At 34.3% G+C, this 20,758-nt stretch overlaps 1 protein-coding gene across 1 annotated transcript in view; it reads right to left on the bottom strand.

Moving 5' to 3' along the window:
- ADGB (androglobin) overlaps positions 1 to 20,758 on the bottom strand; it is a 216,491-nt gene that overhangs the window by 116,386 nt on the left and 79,347 nt on the right. The window contains exons 10-12 of the mRNA NM_024694.4: positions 13,249 to 13,343; positions 7,787 to 7,961; positions 6,162 to 6,252 (exon numbers count right to left, since the gene is read on the bottom strand). Coding sequence (NP_078970.3) covers positions 6,162 to 6,252; positions 7,787 to 7,961; positions 13,249 to 13,343 — 361 coding nt within the window. The remainder of the gene's footprint in view (positions 1 to 6,161; positions 6,253 to 7,786; positions 7,962 to 13,248; positions 13,344 to 20,758) is intronic.

The raw sequence follows: 20,758 nt of genomic DNA, 5'->3' as shown, positions 1-20,758 counted from the left end.
AAACAATGGGTAGCTTAAGCATGATATTAATCAGAAATCATGAAGCATTAACATTTTTATGTTAAGTTTAGAAAAACTCTGTGTGTGACTAAATGTTTGTGTTCCTCCAAAATTCGGACGTTGAAACCTGATCACCAATGTGATCAGGTTTATTACATTGATTTATTAGAAATTATAACACAAATTTTATGCTGGGCATGGTGGAACATGCCTGTAGTCCCAGCTACTCAAGAGACTGAGGCAAGAGGCACCACTTGCCTCAAACTCAGAAGTTTGAGACCAGCCGGGTAACAGAGCAAGACCCCATCTCAAAAAACAAAACAAAACAAAACCCCAAAAGTTTGAGAAAAAAACTAGATTTATTAATTTGCAACAATAGCAAAATTTTAAAACGAAAGTAGCAGGAAATGTTTTTTTCTGGTTATAAAGCTGTCCCGCATGGCTTGACATTGCCAACTGCCAATATTTGTCTAGCAGTGCTGTGCAGTGCTCCCTCCCTACCCACTTTTCAATGTTCAGTTGTCGATACATAGAACTGACAAAACCTTAAAGGTAAAATATTTGAAGAATATCTTTAGTATTATAAACTTAAATAGAATAAATAAAAGTGTAAATTAACTGCCTGTGATGTAAAGAGTATCTAAAAGTAGGAAAGCACAATGAACACGGTACAGATCTAAATTTTGACTGCTTTTCTCTTATCAGCTTATATTCCTATCATAGATTATAGTCTATCCAAGAGAAGGCTAAAGCCATATTTAATGGCCATTATATGTGTGACCGATGGTACAGACCATTCAATGATTTTAATAAAGTTTTATTGAAGCTTAAAATACATGTTTAAATGTTCTTAAACAATGAATGTACACTTGCTGAAATATCACAAAGTAAACACAGTCATATCACCATTATTCAGATCAAGCATTTTTCATATTACTAGCAATCCACAAACCCTGCCAGAAGCATGTCACAATCATGGCCAACTCTCCTCACCACAGATAACCACATTGGTTACTTCCAACACCATATATTGCTTTTTAAAATTGTTCTTTTCTTACTGTATATTAATAGGATAGCTGAAAACTAACCACGTAATTTGTGTACCAGACTTCTTTGGTCTAAATTTTGTGAGTGTATGTGAGATTTGTCCATATTGCTTTGTATAGCAGTCTTTATTTCACTTTTATTGCATTATATTATTGCATTATATTTGTCTTTGGCTTTACTATGATGTGTCTAGCTGCAGTTTTCTTTGTATTTATATTACTTAGTCTTTTTAGGACTTCCTGAGTCTTGACTTAAACTTTTCCCTTTAGGGATTCTTTTGGCCGTTAAGATTTGAGTTTTTAATTATTTCCAAATCTCTTTATCTCCTACTTCTGAGAACCACTGGCAAGTACGTTGGTCATGTTCAACGTGTCTCATAGGTCTTAACTGTACTTTTTTTTCCCATTTTTTTTGTCTCCATGCTTTAGTCTGGATATTATCTTCTAATCTATTTTCAACTTTGCTTATTCTCCTTTAGTCTGTATCTAATGTGTTCTTAAGCACATCTATTGAGTTCTGGGTCTTAGTCATTATACTCCTTGCTTCTAGAATTTCTATTTTATTTTTTAAACCACTTTACATACTTTCTTTTTTAAATTTTCACCACTCTATTGAAGGATAATTGAAGTACAGTTAACTGCACAAATTCAAAGTGTAAATTTGCTAGTCTTTGATATATGTGTATAACCATGTATTAGCCACCTATTGCTGCATTAAAAATTACCACAATTTTAACGGCAACCATCATACCCTGCACTCATATCACCCAATACACCAGTTATTGCTATTTGTGAAGTTCATGGTCACTTCTGATTCAATAAAAACTTCAGACCCAGCTTTACAGTCTTTCTTTCTATCCCTATTGTGATGTTCAAATATTAGTGAGTGTGGGTTCCTCTTCCTCCTCCTTCCCCCTTTCTCTTCATTGTTCTTCATTGTCTTTGCTGTTGTATTTAGTTAGTCTTTTTTTTCCCTATGAGTGACACACCCAGTTTTCCACATTTCTATGACAATCATTTAATCTTGTAATTTAATTAGCTGGTAATAACCGAAAATATTCATCAGTGCTAATGATTAAAGTAGGTAAGATGCTTTTTTGTTGTTCTAAAACAGTAGCCAAATCTGTAAAGACAGACAGATTTTCCCATCAGCATAATTACTAGAAACAAGAAAAAAAATTAGAGTACTTCTAAATATGAAATACACCAAGCCTCTCTGGCTCTCTTCTGTCTCCAGGCAATATCCCAGTTTCTTATCACCACCTTTAATCTCTCACCAGCTTGCACTCTTACATTGTCTACTCCTTTTAGGAACATAATTTGAGCAGCTTTGACATCTCACCAAAGCAGTAAAACAAACAATGTGAAAGAGAAAAGTGAGGGCATTTTTCAATAGTATCTTTGTTTTACATATAATATTTTCATATCACTTTATTTTTACAGTCAGAGTTTTCATTGATTAATTAATACATTTTTCCTCACAAAAACAGTGCCCTTTCTAGTTAATCCTCTGTGTCCCCTCAATACTTTATTTAAATATCCTTGGAATAAGGGGGCTCATTTAATTTATTTTTTTAAGTTTTATGATGCTAAAGAACATTTGAAGTAGGCCTTATTTCAACCAATTCAAAATTTATCTTAAAATAAGTATTTCTGGCTGGGCACTGTGGCTCACACCTGTAATCCCAGCACTTTGGGAGGCCAAGGTGGGTGGATCACCTGAGGTCAGGAGATAGAGACCAGCCTGGCCAACATGGTGAAACCCCATCTCTACAAAAAATACAAAAATTAGCCGGGTGTGGTGGCACACACCTGCAATCCCAGCTACTTGGGAGGCTGATGCAGGAGAATCACTTGAACCTGGAAGGCAGAGGTTGCAGTGAGCCAAGATTGCTCCACTGCACTCTAGCCTGGGCAGCAGAGCAGACTCCATCTCGGGAAAAAAAAAAAAAAGTATTTCTTACTATAAAAGGGAACTTAAGAAATATTGCTTTTGTATAATCACTGCAATGACACAAATTTTAGTATATTTGTCATGAAAGCATACATTTTTATTTATTAAATAAAATTGATTTAAAAGGTTGAAGTTGAAATGCTTTAACTATTAGGACAATTACATTCAACTGGTCTTCTCAATAGGGCAAAGAAAATGCCACTTAGTTATGTTGCATTATATGAATGAATGAGCTTTTCATTTTAATCTATGAATAGTAATATGGGTTAAAATAATAAAAACTAAAAATAATATAATACTGTTATAGTAAAATGCTACAATTATGGACAGGTCACTTGTTCATTCCTTTTAATATTTAGAAGAAACTTATGCAATGATGAAAATGTTCACTTAGAACATTTGACTACTGAGAACTTAAAATGTTGCTAATGCAACTAAGGAAATTAATTTTTAATTTTATATAATATTAATTAACTTAAAAAATTTTACATAGCCCCATGTGCCTAGTGCCTACCATACAGGAAAGAACATAATTTTAAATACTGAATAACTTAGGTGCTTCAAAATATTTTAATATTTTAATCAATTCAATTAATATTTACTTAATACCTATGATTTACTTAATGCCTATGATTTCCAAGTTACTATGTTAAATATCCAATTGTTACAGTGTAGATACAAAGCCCATATGCTAACTGTTAATGTCTTTATTATAAGTATATACAAAGCAACGTTAACTAATTCTAAAAATTTGGTGATGTTACTCATTACACCCAGAAAATTACAAACAAATTTGGAGAAGGGAAGGCTATTGGAAGCAGACAATATTAAGAACTGATAAAGACATCATTAGTACTATGAAAGCAAAATTAAAACTACAACTAAGCCAATCACTGAAACAAAGCCCCGGAAAAGCCAGTAGTCTCAGGTCATTGAATGTTAGGGTCATTGTTCCTCAAAGTCCTTGAGGTCCCTCTGTTAGAAGACAGTATAGTAATAATGCTAAGTATGATTCATCCAGGAAGCAAGGAAGGCTTTGAGTATGCTCTACTTAAGAAGGAAAGACATTATTTAATATATTAATAATGTGTATATTACAAGTGGTTAATTTAGCCCAAATTTTGACTAAATTAATGACACTGTTGATAACATTGCATTGCATTTCTATTATATTGCAGTATCAGTTAGGACTGCTTGTGTCCAAGTGACAGAAGGCTAATTCATAGTAGCTTTAATAAGAATAGAAATTCCACTGGCTTTTGTAACTGAAATGTCCAGTGGGACTGGAAAATAACTTACACAGTATTTTTTTACACATCTAGAAACCTAATAATAAGAGAATGGAGTGGTGCATATATAATTGTTGTCAAATATTTGAAGATTTTTCATGTAGATAGGGAGCTAAAAAAGCTGCAATGTATTATTTTAGGAGTTTTATATATTATTCATTTTAGGGGAAGAACTGGATGAATTTACAAAACACATCAACAGAACACACTACTTGCTAGATGAAGGGGAAGGAAGGTGCTATGGTCTGAAGGTGTGTATATACTTCTGCCATCAAATTTATATGTTGAGATCCTAAACCCTGAAATAATGGTATTAAGAGGTGAGGCCTTTGGGAGGTGACTCAACCTGCATGCATGGCATTAGTGTCCTTGTAAAAGGTACCCCAGAGAGCTCATTCACCCCTTCCACTAGGTGAGTACACAGTGGTAAGATGCCATGCATGAGGAAGCAGACCCTTGCCAGAAATTGACTCTGCTGGCGTGCAGTTCTTGGACTTCCCAGCCTCTAGAAGTATGAGAGATAAATTTTTTGTTATTTACAAGCCACAAGTCTATGGTATTTTGTTATAGCAGCCCAAACAGGCTAAGACAGAACATGAATGCTAGCAAGTGGGATTGCTGCTATGGTAACTACCTAAAATGTGGAAGCAGCTTTGGAACTGGGTAATAAAGGCTGGAAGAGTTTGGAGGTACATGCTAAAGAAAGCCTACATTGCCATGAACGGACCTTTAAAGATGATTCTGGAAAGGGCCCAAAAAGGAAAGAAGAGAGCTATAGAGAAAGCCTCAATCTTCTTAGAAAATATATACGTGTCTGTGAACTAAATTCTGGTAGAAATATGGATAGTAAAGGCCATTTTGATGAGGTCTCAAATGGAAATTAGGAACATGTTATTGGGCCATGGAGGAAAAGCCACCCTTGTTAGGCAAAGACTTTGGCTGATTTTCTGTGTTCCAGTGTTTTGCGGAAGGTAGAACTTGTGAGCAGTGAAATTAAATATTGGATTGAGGAAATTTCTAAGCAAAGTGTTGAAAGTGCGGCGTGGCTTCTCTTGACTCCTTATAGTAAAATGCTAGAAAAAAGAAATAGATTTGGACAATTCTCAGCCTATCCATATTGGGAAAAATGAGAAAGCCTATTTGAAAGAGAACAAGGAAGATGTGGAAACCACTTCCACACTTTCAGATATTTGTTACAGCTGCACCCTACTTCTCTGTACCAAAGTCCGTATTTGTTTGCTCGGGCTGCCGTAACAAAATACCACAGGTTAGGTGGCTACCATAGGAGAAATCTATTTTCTCACATTTCTGGAGACTGGAAGTCTGAGACCAGTCAGGATGGGTGCCAGCAGGGTTTGTTTCTTATGAAGACTCTCCTTCCTGCCTGCCAACAGCTGCCTTCTCTGTGTGCTCACGTAGCCTTTCCACTGTGTGTGTGCCTGGACAGACAGAAAGAGACAGAGAGAGAGAGAACTCTCTGGTGTCTCTCCTCAGAAGGTCACTAATCCTCTCAGATCAGTACCCCTGCCTTATCACTCATTTCACCTTAATTGCTTGCTTAGAGGCTTTACCTCCAAATGCAGCCACACTGGCAGGTCAGAACTTTAACCTATGAATTTGGTGGGCATACAAACATTCAGCTCATAACACACACAAGAAATTAGTAAAAACTATTTGTTAATTAAGTGGATTAATGTAACTACAAGCTATAAAAGGTCAAGAAAATGTCCTTTTAAAGTTTTTACATGTATTTGGGCTTATTTTAAAATTACTATTCTTCAAAATGCTCCCATTTGGTGTTATCTTTAGCCAGACACATCACAAAGTATTTACTAACAAGACACATTTGTGAGGAAGAATGTTAATACTTACATTTCTGTTGGAATTGTAAATGGAGTCATTCTATAATTCAAAAATGGACTTGAAATCTCAAGGAACCGTTCAGGCTTCTTTACTATTAACTCTAAAAAGTAGCAGTTAGAAAGTATGATGTACATTTAAAAAAATCTTTCAGGATTGCATACAGAATTTAACATTTAATACAGTGCTGGATAGATTAACTATTTACTCAGCAAATTTCAATAGTGTGAAATAGGAATGTAAAACCATACATAAAGCTTTTATTGAAAGAGTTTATAGATCTTTACGGTATTCAATTTCTTTTGTCTACTCTTTTCTTTCCAGATTATGTGAAACAAGTCTCAAGGGAGAAAGTTAGCAATGTCTTATAGAATTATTACTTGGTATTTGCTGCTATTTCAAGTACAGGAATGAGTTTCTATAAAAGTCTTTTACTAAAAAAAAAGTTCCCTTAGTTAACCTCTGTAACACAATTGCTTAGGATATAAGGAGGAAATGTGAACTAACATATGAATACGGCAGTGGAAGAACAAAAACTGTAGCAAAGTAATGATCATGAGGTAAAAAGAAAGCAGCAGGTCAGGAGAGGTGTTGTGGATATTCCTAAAGGAGTCTGAGGCTGATCCAGAAGAAAGAAATTCTCAATGAATAAAGGACACAGCACTTGCATTACCATGGTGAACAATGAAATTAAACATTAGGGGTGATTATTAGGAAAAAAAAGAGACTAGGACATGGAATACCTAAATTTTCTTTGACTGTACACAGCAATCAGTAGCAAAATCAGAAATTACCTACATGTTCACTATTCTTCCTTTCATTCAACTATTCCTCAATGCCCTGAATGAATAACTGTTTTAAGAAGCTCTGCAAATTTAACCAAAATATAACATTTTAAAATAAAGGATTTTGTTTTCCTTTCAAGTGTCAAACAGATGCTGGTCTTCCATTCAAGAAACAATAAAGGAGAAGATAGAAGGAAGGGAGGGAAGGAGACAAGGAAGGAAGGAGGGACGGAGAGAGGGATGGAAGGAGGAAGAAGGAAGGAAGGAAAAAACAAACAAACAAACACAAAAAACTGGGAAGTTTTTGTAACCCTAAAAGCAGATGCACTTTGCTACAAACTACTTTTCTATCACACTAATAATAACATCGCCATAACTCAAAAGAATGAGCTTCATATATGTGGTCAAGTCAGACATTAACCAAACTCCTTAGCTTCTGAGATGTGAAGAATTAATCCTTTAAAGACATAAAATTTTGGCATAAAATTAAACATAGGCTTCCAGCTACTCAGGAGGCTGAGGCAGGAGAATGGTGTGAACCCGGGAGGCGGAGCTTGCAGTGAGCCAAGATCATGCCACTGCACTCCAGCCTAGGCCACAGAGCGAGACTCCGTCTCAAAAAAAAAAAAAAAAAAAAAAAAATATATATATATATATATATATATTTATATATATATATATTTTTATATATATATATTTTTATATATATATATATATATATATATATATATTAAACATAGGCTTTAGAAGCAATGTTGGGTGATTTACCTTGACATACATCTTTCACCGCAGATGAAACTGTTAGACTTTCATACATTAATTAGAAGGATTTGAAGATGATGTGATACATACCTTGAGCTTCATCTGTTATAACAGTTTCCTTTTTTTGACGAATGAGTTTCCAGGGAGGTAGAGGAGGTGGTTTTGGTGGTGCTACCAGAGGACAAGACCTACTTCTAGTCACCAGCACAGGATGGCTACAGATGTGGGAAAGCCCATATTCTCTAAGTTTCTCAGCAGAATCTGCCTAGAAGATGGAAAGTAAATTGAAAAGCATTCTCCTTCATTCAAAACAATGCTTTTTCCAATGTAAAAATACTATCACGAACAGAGCAATATGGTGGTAGTAAGAAAAAAAATCACCCAATATCTCTACCTCTCTTAATATAAGCATTATTATCATTTGTATTTCTTTCCATCTTTTAAATTTTCTGGAGCCCTGTTTCTTTATTTACAAAATGAGAGATTGGAACTAGAATACACTTTTCAGTTCTAAAAGCTTAAGGATGAATGAGATTGCACAAAATCTTAGCACACCAGTTAGTCCAAAATTAATCAGCCATTATTTTTACAGGTTAATGCTTTAACACTAGTGCTTAATATGTAAATTAAAAAAAACTAGCCATTGCTACCTAATTTTTTTAAATACTACTTTCTTGAGTGTGTTCAGTGGTAAGTGGCTGTCTTGTCTACACTTCACCCCTCTTCCCCTAACAATGTGTTCCTCCACATAAGATCCCCATGATTACACATGATTACAATCAAGGAGTTGCCCAGGCAGATACTTCTCATATTCTAGTGTTAGATCTCCTGAAGCCAGTCTGCTTTGGAATAATTCAGAATAACAGCTAAGTAGAACTTACGTTACTGATTTACGGCTGAACAATGCCAAAGGAAATAAAAAGGTATATGAATGTTAAAGTGATATACACTATAGCCAAATTCTGATGTTCACAGCTTACTTTAACATTTAAAGTAAAATAAATTGAAATATTAACAACATTAAAATCAATTTTGACCGATTTTGTCAATAACTGTTTTTCTTCCTAATTATGTTGTCTCAATGATTTCTATGCAATAGCCACAATCCAGATTGCAAATTTACAAAACAGACACTTAAATTAGAACCAGAAACCCACTTATCAGCCTATTCCAAATTATTACTTCAACTGGAAACTGCCTTGCTCTCACAACTCTGCTGTAGAGCTCAATCTGCCCCGAGGTAGGAGACCCGTGAGATAGTAGAGTCCTTCCCAAGATCAGGATAATAATTTTAAGAAGGAGTTAATCAGTGCACTAGTGAGTCCAGCAGTGGCTTAAAATATTGTAAATATTCAAAATACAGACAACAGTGATGCAATAGTTGTTAAGTCACCGAATTAAGAAATGGAGGAAACTGTCATTTTCTTTTTATCCCTTTGGTATATTTTAGCAACTTAACTAAAAAATTTCAGAAAACTCTGGAATTATGTCTTAGAGTGCCTTAAAAAACTTTTTCATAGATGTTCTAAGATCTAAACCTTTTTCTATAACTTGAACCCTGTCGAGTTTTAAGTTTCCATGAGTCAAGCCACCACCTGAAACTAATTCTTTCAATGGAAAGAAAATGCCTTGGTATAGTAGTTATAAAAGGTGAATTACTGTAAAAGTTACATTTGAATAATATCCAAAATAGAAGTCAAACTCAAAGTGGTATTTAAAAGTTGAATAAGTTCCAGATACTTTACTAGTCATAATTTTTGGTCTACATATGTTAATTTCTTCCTGCCATTGCAACAAATTTTAGTCTAAAAACACTTTTTTTTTAGACCGTAGAGCATTAGAAAATAAAATGATTTAAAGCATTTGGAAATGTAAAGGACTGGTCCAAACAACAAATTCCAGTATTAGCACCTATTTATAATTTGAATAATCTGCCAAAGTACTAACATGATTTTGGCACAAGAAATTTAAATACAGCAATTCTACATACTTCATTTTATTTTCAATGTACTAAGCAATACTTCTGATTCATGTAAAGTAATGCTATTAATAATAGTTATAGTTTGATGCTGAGAAAGTTTGTTCAAGGATTTCAAAGTTCCTTGGATTACAATTAGGGGATGAGGGAGATTTACAATAGTGCCTGAAACACTGAGTTTTTCCTAGGCACTCAATATACATATGCTGCATAATTCATGTGTAAGACTTAAATTAGAAGTTTCCTTTCCTAAGACCCTTTCACTCTTTTTACTTCAGCTCATTTCAAACATTCTAACAGATGCAAGAGTTGGATTTGGGCAGGTGAAAGAGGCTTTATTAAAACTCTCAGATCTACATAAAACTAAAACCATTAGAATACCCAAGAGGAGAAAGAAGTTGGATAATGTAATTTGTAACATCTTGCTCCTTCCCGAGTTTTGTTCTTGATTTTCGTGTATTTTTCTTTTTTACCACTTCTTTAAATAAATGTAAGTTCTTGGCTTTATTTTACCTGCTGATCTTACTGTCTTTGAGGCTGTAACTTTTAGCAATGTACTCCATTTAACAAAATTTCATTAAGACAGAAATTGTTTCCTATAGGTATATTCTTAAGACATTGTATCTCCATTATATTCTGATATTTACCAGGGAAACCAGATCACCCTCACAGGATGCTAACCTAAAAGAATCAGCAGGCAAGACAGGAAGATGGTGACACACTAGTCAGTTCATTACAGCTTTGGAAGTCACTTACTGTTCCAGACACTGGGCTAATTCCAGAACCTCTGGGCACCTTAAGCCTTAAACTTCCCCAAAGGGAGGATTTATAATAATCTTTATGCCTTGGCTCTCACGCATGCCTCAAGCTGCCTTTAAGTCTTCTCCCCTTATGATGTCAATATCTAGTAGTTCCTTGAACCCAGTGGAATCTTCTTCATCTCCAAACTTTCCAACGTAAGATTTCCTCTGCTTTGAACACACTTTATCCCATTTACTTGCCTAACTTCTTTAAGATCTCAGCTTAAACAGTTCTCCCTTAGGGAGGACTTCCCTGGCTACCCATTAGAAAGGATGACATGTTTCTGTTATGTCTTTCATTCATTTTTTTTTTCATTCATTTAACCATATGTTCACTTGGTTACTCCTCCAACAAATATTAATTCACCTACACCTACTACGTGGCAGGCACCTTGTATGCCTTCTGTTCTAATTGTATTATTGCAGTTCACTCAGTTGTCTGCCTTCCTCATTAGACTCTAAGCTTTGTGGAGAGAACTTTGTCAATCTTGCTTATCATTGTATCTTCAGAAGATAGCATATTGTTTAGCGTATAATAGTATATCATAGATAATTCATAAAATCTGTTGAATTAACCAATGAATAAACAGATGTGAGTTTTTAGTCTTTAGTCTTAGTTTTTTAACTTAAAAATGAACAGTATTTAAATTTTAGTTTCTCAGTAGCACACCAAAAGTTCAAAAGGATTATTTTGTACCCCATTCTTTTTGTAATGCTTTTATCCTGTGCTTACACTTTGTGGTTTTAAAGGGGGTTTGAATACTTCTCAGACATGAGACTATGGCACTCCATAAAGCATTGCTGGTGTTCTTTTTTATTTTCTTTATTTCTTCTAAAAAGAAACAAACAGGATACAGGTACAGAATGTGCAGGCTTGTTACATAGGTCTATGTGTGCCATGGTGGTTTGCTGCACCTATTGACCCATTCTCTAAGTTCCCTCCCCTCAACCCCATCCCACAACAGGCCCTGTTGTGTGTTGTTCCCCTCTCTGTGTCCATGTGTTCTCAGTGTTCAAGTCCCACTTATCAGTGAGAACACGTGGTGTTTGATTTTCTGTTCTTGTGTTAGTTTGCTGAGGATAATGGCTTGCGGCTTCATTCATGTCCCTGAAAAGGACATGATCTCATTCCTTTTTATGGCTGCGTAGTATTCCGTGGTGCATATGTACCATATTTTCTTTATTCAGTCTATCATTGATGGGGCATTGCTGGTATTCTTCAGCAGTCCAATGAGTTAGAGCATTTACTCGCTAGCATATCTGAGACAGCACGTAGGCCAGTAGCATGCAAAGAGGTTAAAAGAAAGGCAGGCGTGAGAAGGCCAGCCCTAATCTTAGCAAGAGGCTTGACTTGGGAGAGGCTTTAGAAGTACATTTAGATTGTTGAATGTTGCTGGTTTTTATATTCAGTCCAAATTGCTGTTTCTGCTATTTAACCATGGCTAATGTTTTCTAACTTTGGATTAAAAATAGTGAAACTGCCATATTCAGGATGGCACATAATCCTCTTATGAACACTGTTATATAGTAAAATTTTTGTGGAAGGAATTATTTTTATCTAAAAAAGTGGAGAAGAAAGAATGGGAAGAAAGAGAAAGGGAAAAATGTTAGCAACGTGCCCCCCAGGCATAATCTAAAAGACAAATGTAATGCACATAGTAAAGTATAATAATCATTCAATTGGAATATTTATGTTTCAAGCTAATTTCCATTCAAGTTTTAAAACATAGCTCTTTCTAGCTAACTAAATGAACATTCATATGTAATCATATTGCTGCATCATGCAGTTGTATACTTTAATGTAGTGACTTCAGACTATGAAATCCTAGTAACAAAGTGTTAGATGTCTACAGTTCCCAAACAGAATTGGGATTCAAAAACCCCAAAAGCAGTAGGGCATTTGTTTAAATAAATTGTTAATAACTTGATGGACTTCACCATCACAAGGGAAGGAGAAAAGTTGTTTTTCTGTCCAAGAACAATAGATAGCTTAAAAATTATGAAAATGCATAAATACTACGCAAGCACTAAACATATTGATTAAAATTTAACATCATGAAAAAAATGTTAACAATATCTTGTGAAGTGAAAAGATGGTTTTCAAATGTAACATAAAGTGTGATTCCAGTAAAAAAGGTATACACATACAAACACAGAATATAGAAGAAAAATCAGAGTATATATGCCAAAATGTTAATAGGGCCTATGCCTTACCATTTATACTATAAATATTTTAATTGTATTTCCTTTCACTACATTTTCTAAATTTTCTACAATTTGTTAAATGTATAAGAAAACAATTAGCATTTATTTTGTATTATTTTGTGATACAAGAAAGGTCATAGCAGTATCTCTCCAGCCTGAGGGTGAATTCACTAATATCATCTTATTTTAAGAAAACGCATGTGGCCTATTTATGGGAAGGTCATTAATTATTACCTGGGAATAATTTCTATGATTTTCACTGAAATACATAAATCCTGTATCTTTCTTTTTGATTATAACAGAAGGATCTATAAAAATTAAAAGTGACTATGTATTTTTTCTTTTCCTTTTTTATAATTAGCCAGAGCTATTGCAATCATCTAAGATAATTTTGGATGTGTCAGATGCCTTAGGTCGAGTATCTAATTTTAAAGATAAGGAAACTGACATCCACAGATAGAATTTTAATTAAATTTTCATGTGCCTTCTACCACAGCAAGTAATCACACACACACGTGCACCCACACACACAAAATAAATAATACTGTTTCCTAAGCTTGAATGCTTACCATCTTCTCTAATGAAAAGATCTTGTTTTCAAACAAATAAAGAGGTGTAAATGTCGCATATACGACCATATGAGAGGTCTGTATTGCAGAAGAACCTGTAAAACAAACATACATTATGTTGTGAAAATTCTAGTCAAAATCGGTCTGTCAGTTGCTCACTCCAGATTGTTCAATTGCCTTAATGAATTTATCTTCGGGCTGGTGAAAAATACATAAAGGATGCAAAATGAATTTAACAGATGTTAAATCTCAAAGATGTATCTATTTTGTAGCCTGTCTCATTCATTTTAAGTTCACGTTGTTACTATTTAATAATTTAAGACCTTATTATACCTCATGAACAAGAGTTATTATATAAATATACTCTAGTTATTCGTCAGTGCAACATAGAATGGTCCACAAATGAGAATGTTCAAAAGGAATTATTTTTAAATTGAAGCATTTCTTTTCTTTCATAGATAGGATCTTTATTCTATGTTGAACTTACAGAAAGTCCAGGAGCTTCTATGTCATTTTGTCATTTCAAAAAGAAAGAAAACATAAGTAAAATGAATTTTTCCATGAAGAAGTAAGGCATAAATAATTTAGTTTGAAATGTTTAATGCTGGTAGAATTTGCTTTTAAGCGTTGCTTATTTGTTTGTAATGTTTTTCTTATCCTTGAAATTATTCTATTTGATTATTTTATTCAGTATTTTTTGGTCCTGCAAATATTTTGGACAAATAAATAGAAGTCAATTTATTTTAGCCTCTTTTTATATTTAATTAAATTTTTTTACAAACGTACATACTGACATTTAACTATATTTGATACTATGTTTACAAAAGAATAATATCTTTAAGACCACAGAACATAAATTAGTTGTCAGCCCAGTATATGTCTAGAATGGAGATATGAAAATCTGCCAAACTTAGAGAAACATACTTTTACATTTCAAAATTGAAATTTGTACATTTCTCATACACCTTGCCAACACATATTGATTGCCTTTTCCCTACATTACTCATTTATCTATGCTACATTTGTTTGATGATGTTAGTTATCATCTAATGTCCACAGACGCTGTCTCCCCAACTAACTTTTAATCCAAAGTTAGTTGGATTAACTAACTCTGCAGAGGCTTGGTTAATAATTTGACCTACTCCTTGTGGAATACAAGGTACTGTGTATTGTGTGATAACTTGTATGAAATAATATGTTTTTAAACATAACTAATCATCTTAAGTTTAAGGATGCAGCAAAATAATTATTCCTTTTAAAAAGAATGAATGTTTATGAAAATACTTTTCATGCACTCCTATCATCAGATAAGACCATTTGAGATACCCACATTGACCAGAATGGCCCTCAGCAGTGACCAGTAATTTACAGTCCAGTTACTTTTCTCACTGATCAATCTAATTGAAGCCCTCCAATAAGTCCTCTAATCAAAAGAAAGATTGTGAAATGCCTTTAGGTGTCAGCTGAGAGTTGAAGGCCAGTTATGGAGAGGAAGTTCCTGACAGTGATGACTGCTAAATATTAAAATGGATAAAATTTTAAAAATCAGTTTTTTTAATCTATCTTCAGAACTTTCTGCTCAAGGAAGAAGATAAGATTAAATGTACTTTCCAGGTTCAAGATTAAGCAGTTGGCTGTCTACACCTTAGGAAAGTATGAAGCATGAGAGGTGGAGGGAAGAAGAGTGAGGGTTCCTCTCTGAGCCTGGCTACTGAGCAAGATTGGGCTTCTTTACAAAAAGTCAGCTGAGTTTCCAGATGTTAAACACACACCTTACATAATGTTTGACCAAATGTCTGGGCACCCCATGGCTCGTTCAGGTTGATCTATTTCATTAGCTCTTTTCTAAATCTTGTTTTAAAAATCATAACGTGTAAAAGTATTTTGGTCCACATTATATCCCACATTTGTACATTATGCATTAGAAATTTTGATGTCTTCCCTAAAATTTTCTAAAGCTTAATATTTAATATTATCACATTAAGTACTTTGTCCTTGATCTTTAATAAGTCTTTTGAACTTTTATTTTCCTTATGATATTAAAAATAAAGTTTGTGATACAAGTATTTTGAAAAAAGTTCTCACTTACTTTATAACATTATGTAATAAAATATATGGAAACCTGGGAATTCCAGGTGAGGTCTTAGAAAACAATAACTTTAGAAACTTGGAGTAAAGAATGTGGTCTTGACATATTATAGAAATGATGTTGATGACAAAAAAATTTGCTCCAAATTTTAGGATAATCACACATTTTACATGGGATTGTAATATGTAATGTTGAAATATTAAAAAATAACACAAGTGTTTAGTTAAGGGTGAAGTTTTAAATATTTAATAAGTGGTATAGCATGGGCACAGATTAATTAAACTAGAAGCTGATTATAAATATTGGTATCACTATACTGGTGCTATTAACTAAATATCAATCTGTAAAAGCTGGATAGGAATGTGCTATTAAATAGGGATTTTCAAACTAAGTTTTATACATCTTATAAATGAGATTCAGGGGCCCAGAACTCAGTGAACTATTATGTAACACTGCAGATCTGTGTGCACACTAACTGCTTTAGTCTGTTTTGTACTGCTAAAATGAAATACCTGAGACTGGGTAACTTTTAAAGAACAGAAGTTTATTTCCCCACAGTTCTGGAAGCTGGGAAGTCCAAGATCAAGGTGCTGGCGCCTGGTGAGGAACTTTTTGCTGTGTCATCCCCTGGCCAAATAAGCATGTCATCCCATAGCCAAACTCACCCTTTTATAACAAACCCACACCTGGGATACCTAACCACTCCCATGATAATGGCATTAATCCATTCCCTCTGTCCTCATGGCCTAATTACCTCTCATTAGGCCCCACCTCCCAATATGGTTGCATTGGGGATCAAAATTCTAGCACATGGACTCCAGAAGACACATTCAACCAAGACTACAAAGGATTTGGAAAAAAAAGAGAGAAGGTTCAAAATTTTCATAAGATTTTCAAAAAAGTTTATTAGCCAAGAAAATATAAGAATTATTTGTAAAGGGTCTAAAGGGCCTTAGATAATTCCTATTTGTTCTATTATCTCTCTGTAAATATGTTGTGTGATTCTGCAATATTGGAACACCCATAATGCATTTTGATTTTATTATATATCAATAAAACTGCTTTTAGAATATCTTAAAGGCAAATGTTTAAATCTAGGGGCTCTATAATTTCTTTCAGTGAACTATGAATGGTACAGACCATGAAATTTCCTTATCTTTCCAGTTGTTGGAGTAACTTTGTATTGAATTAGCACAGCTGCATATAATAATGCTTAATAATTGAGAAAGAAATTTAAGAAAAAATATACTCTTGAATGATGAAATGAAATTTAACATCCTAGTCTCTAAAACTGCCTTAAAATATTTTGTACAGTAATTATGAGTCTTATATGGCCTACAACTGCCATACTAATTATATGTATTTTATTGCTCAAAAGAAGCTTTTGCTACATTTGTATGATTTAAATGTTTTATTTTACATGTGATACAGCTTTTTTTGCTTTCTATAAGCATATTTCAGAAGACTGCTATAAAATACGTAAGATTACTTAAATACCACTTTTATCATTGATTTCATTTTATGTTAGACATTTACTGTCTGAACCTATAAAAATTTCAGCCTGAAATTTTGAGTCCCAGTGAGATGAACCCCAAATTACTATAAATCCATAAGAAGTATTTGTTAAAGATTATATATGATTTTTTTCAGATGTGATATTTAGTTAATTTAGAATAGCTAACTTTCAGTGAATGCCTACTCTGTGCTAAGGCCTAGGTATTTCATATGAGTCAGTTCACATAAACCCTATGAAATAAATTCTATTTTTAACAGTATTTTTCAGGCAAGTAAACTGAGTTACGGATAGGTTAAGTAACATGTCCACTACACAATTAAGAAGTGTGAAGTGTAAAGTAGTCCCTGGTCTTTCTGGCAATTTTTTATTGTCTATGATTCTATGTGGCAATATCTAAAGAGGATAATGACTCGAATGTGTTCCGGCCCACTTCCTACCAGACAATGTTTGCAGGTCCAATATTTGATGCAAAGCTGAAAAGTAAAAGACTTTTTATACCAAGTCCATAATTTCTTAATACAAGTTTTAAAATAATATATATTAGTGGGCTTCTAATCTATTTCTTTCATCAGTTCCACATGTCCATATTCTTTCTTGAGTGTAATTCCCAAGGCTAATTTACTTCTTTGCTTCTTTGCTTCATAGAGGCCACTTTGAAGATAGCTGCAACAAAGAGGTTGCAGTCTTAATCTTTGACACAACCAGGTGTGTTGTTTAAGTTTTACTGGACTGTATTAGGCCATACTTGCATGGCTATAAAGAGATACCTGAGACTGGATAATTTATAAAGAAAAGAGGTTTAATTGGCTCATGGTTCTGCAGGGTGTACAGGAAGCCTAGATCTGGTATCTGTTTCTGGGGAGGCCTCAGGGGGCTTTTACTCATGGCAGAAGGCAAAAGAGGGAGCAGATGTCTCACATGGTGAGAATGGGAGCAAGCAAGAGAGTAGGGAGAGATGTTACACAGTTTTAAACGACCAGATCTTGCAAGAACTTACTGTCATGAAGACAGCACCAAGCCATGAGGGATCTGCCTTCAGGTCCACTCCCACCAGGCTCCACCTCCAGCACTGGGGATTACAATTCAACATGAAGTTTGGGCGAGGACAAATATCCAAAATATATCCTGGACTTTTGTTGTTAAATACTTAGGTATGGCCATGAAATTGAATTGTCTTCAATAGAATGAGACCAGAAGTGATAAACAGTACAGCTTGTTTTTACTTCAAACACCTTGCACCTGCAATCCTCCAAGCTCTTTTACTTCCCACTGGTATAGAACTTTAGAATTCACATGCTAGAGTATAGGAGGCATAAAAAGGGAGGAGCATGGCTCTCTTCAACACCAGCCTTATCTCCAATTAATTGTGGTAAAGAAATAGCCTTCTTTTTCAATTTTGTATGTTCTGTGATCTCAGAAATTTCTCTATTTTTCCCATTTATTTTGGAAAAACAGACAATTCTTCCCTGAACTCATTTCTTATTTGAAATATCTTGCTAACAGTAGATATTACAAACTTAACACTGCCTAGAATAGCAGATTTTCAACCACTTATTTTAGAGACTCAGGTTCACTGAGTACATGGCTAACTTCTAAATTGTCGCAGGTTCCAGTTTTACCAAATATTTTGCTGTATGAGGGAGATCTCCAGGTTTCCTCAAGCTTGAGATACCATTTATTCACTGCCTTCTACTCTACTGTTAAGCAGACACCACATATTTTCACCTTGTTATTAGTACTCAACTTCTGGCAGGAGTTAATTTATCATGAGGTAATTGTAGCTGCTATAAGGAACACACTAAAAAATGACTTAAACATGATATAGTTTCTTTTTGTTCATATAAAGTACAAAATGAACCTTCTTGACCAGCAGGCAGATCTCCAGGTAGTGATTCACATACTCCTGCTCTGTCCATCCTTGTGGCTTTGCCATCTTTAACACTGTGCTCTCAACAGCATTGAGCTAGCAAAAAGGGAATTGTAATTGAGAGCACGGTATAGGTCAGTCTACAGCTGGTATGTATCGCTTTGCTTCACATCCTGTGGGCTAGAAATTATACAGAAGGCCACATCTCACTTAAAAGAGGCTGGGAAAATATAGCAAAACTGTGTTCCTAGAAAGAGGAGGAAATTGTGAAAAGCTAGCAGTTTTTCTCACAGTCAGAAAATATCCAACTTACTATTCCACTGAGTCATATTCTAATGTTATTGATTTTTGCTTTTTTGAAACAATTTTTTAAAGTTACTATGATACTGAACTCTATACTAGAGTACTACACAAATTCTAACTTACCCTATAGTTAATAAGTTACTGGCAAAACTCAAATCTCTAATATTTCTCATAATCATTTTTTCTCAAATATTGGAAGGGTATGATTTATTCATTCTTATAGAACTTCGGTATTTGTAATTAATGTCATTATTTGCATCAAGGTTTCTTTTTAAGCTACATTTTCAATGTAGTTATTTAGAGAAAAAAGTTTTCAATAAGTTTTACAGTTTAAAATATTAGTATTCATAGATATCGAGAGGAGAGAAAACATAGTAGTTGTGTGAACTCTGGAGTAAGACTGTGGGTTTATGAACCCACTTTACACTTTATAATTTGGAGTTCCTCCAAGAGAGCAGAATCAGTGCCAAAGAACTTCCCCTTTATGCCAGGAAAAAGGTCTTAACAGGACTTTCTCAGCCAAATTTTAGAATTGCGAATGATGAGTGACTACAGTGTGTCCCCTGCTATTTTGTTTTATGAGTGGAGTTTATATCGCAGTTACTGTGTTCCTCTTCAAGAGTAGATGAGAGATGTGAATGGATACTTATGGGTGTATCTGTAAGCATGTGTGTGCATGTACATGACTTGGAGATCCTGGATATTTTAACTAGATGAAATTACTAGATAATAATTTAGACTGGGACTCTTGGTACGTATTGAACATATATGTGAGAAGAAGAGTGAAAGGGGTATCTGGTGATCAGGAAAGTGGAATGTGGTAAAGATTGATCATTGTTCACCAAATGGTTTCCTCTTTCTCCTGAAATGAGCGATCTTTAGCACGTCACATTCCATATTTCCAACTCCTCTTAAAGTCAGGTGTGGCCATTGGACTGAATTGTCTTCAATAGAATGAGACCAGAAGTGATATACAATACAGCTTGTTTTGATTTCAGACATCTTGCTCCTGCAATCCTCCAAGCTCTTTTCTTCCCACTGGTATAGAACTTTAGAATGCTAGAGGTAGAAGAGGCATAAAATGGAAGGAGAATGGGTCTCTTCAATGCCATTTAGAAAATAACTTCCTGCCAGTGATTAACACTAGTCTTTTTATTTTAATTGAGAAAGAAATATATATGACATTAGAATCATTTGTTAGTCATACCAGCTAGTGTACCTAAATGAATACACTTATTTTGAAAATAACAAAATGAAATCTTAAATGTCAAGTCATTATTAGGATATGCATTGGATAATATTAGATGACATGTAAATATATATAAATCTCTACATGTCTTCTGCCATTATAAAACTAAATCTCCTTGGCGTTTAAAACTGTGAGCGTCATTTTATTGTAATGACCGTTGTCATAAATATGCTACTTTGAAAAAATTAATAAAACAGGGGTTCTTTATATTAGATTTTCAGTGACTTATCAGAATTAACTACAACACCTCTAATATCAAATCATCAATAAACAATATAGACAGAGCGTGGTGACACATGCCTATAGTCCCAGCACTTTGGGAGGCCAAGGTGGGTGGATCACTTGAGGTCAGGAGTTTGAGACCAGTCTGGCCAACATGATGAAGCTCTGTCTCTACTAAAAATACAAGAATTAGCCAAGTGTAATGGCATGCGCCTGCAGTCCCAGCTACTTGGGAGGTTGAGGCACAAGAATCGCTTGAACCTG

This window comes from Homo sapiens, chromosome 6 (assembly GCF_000001405.40).
Source record: "Homo sapiens chromosome 6, GRCh38.p14 Primary Assembly".
In the NCBI taxonomy this organism is placed as follows: domain Eukaryota; kingdom Metazoa; phylum Chordata; class Mammalia; order Primates; family Hominidae; genus Homo; species Homo sapiens.
The sequence above is the reverse complement of the archived record's forward strand: the minus strand, read 5'-3'. Positions and strand labels throughout refer to the sequence as shown.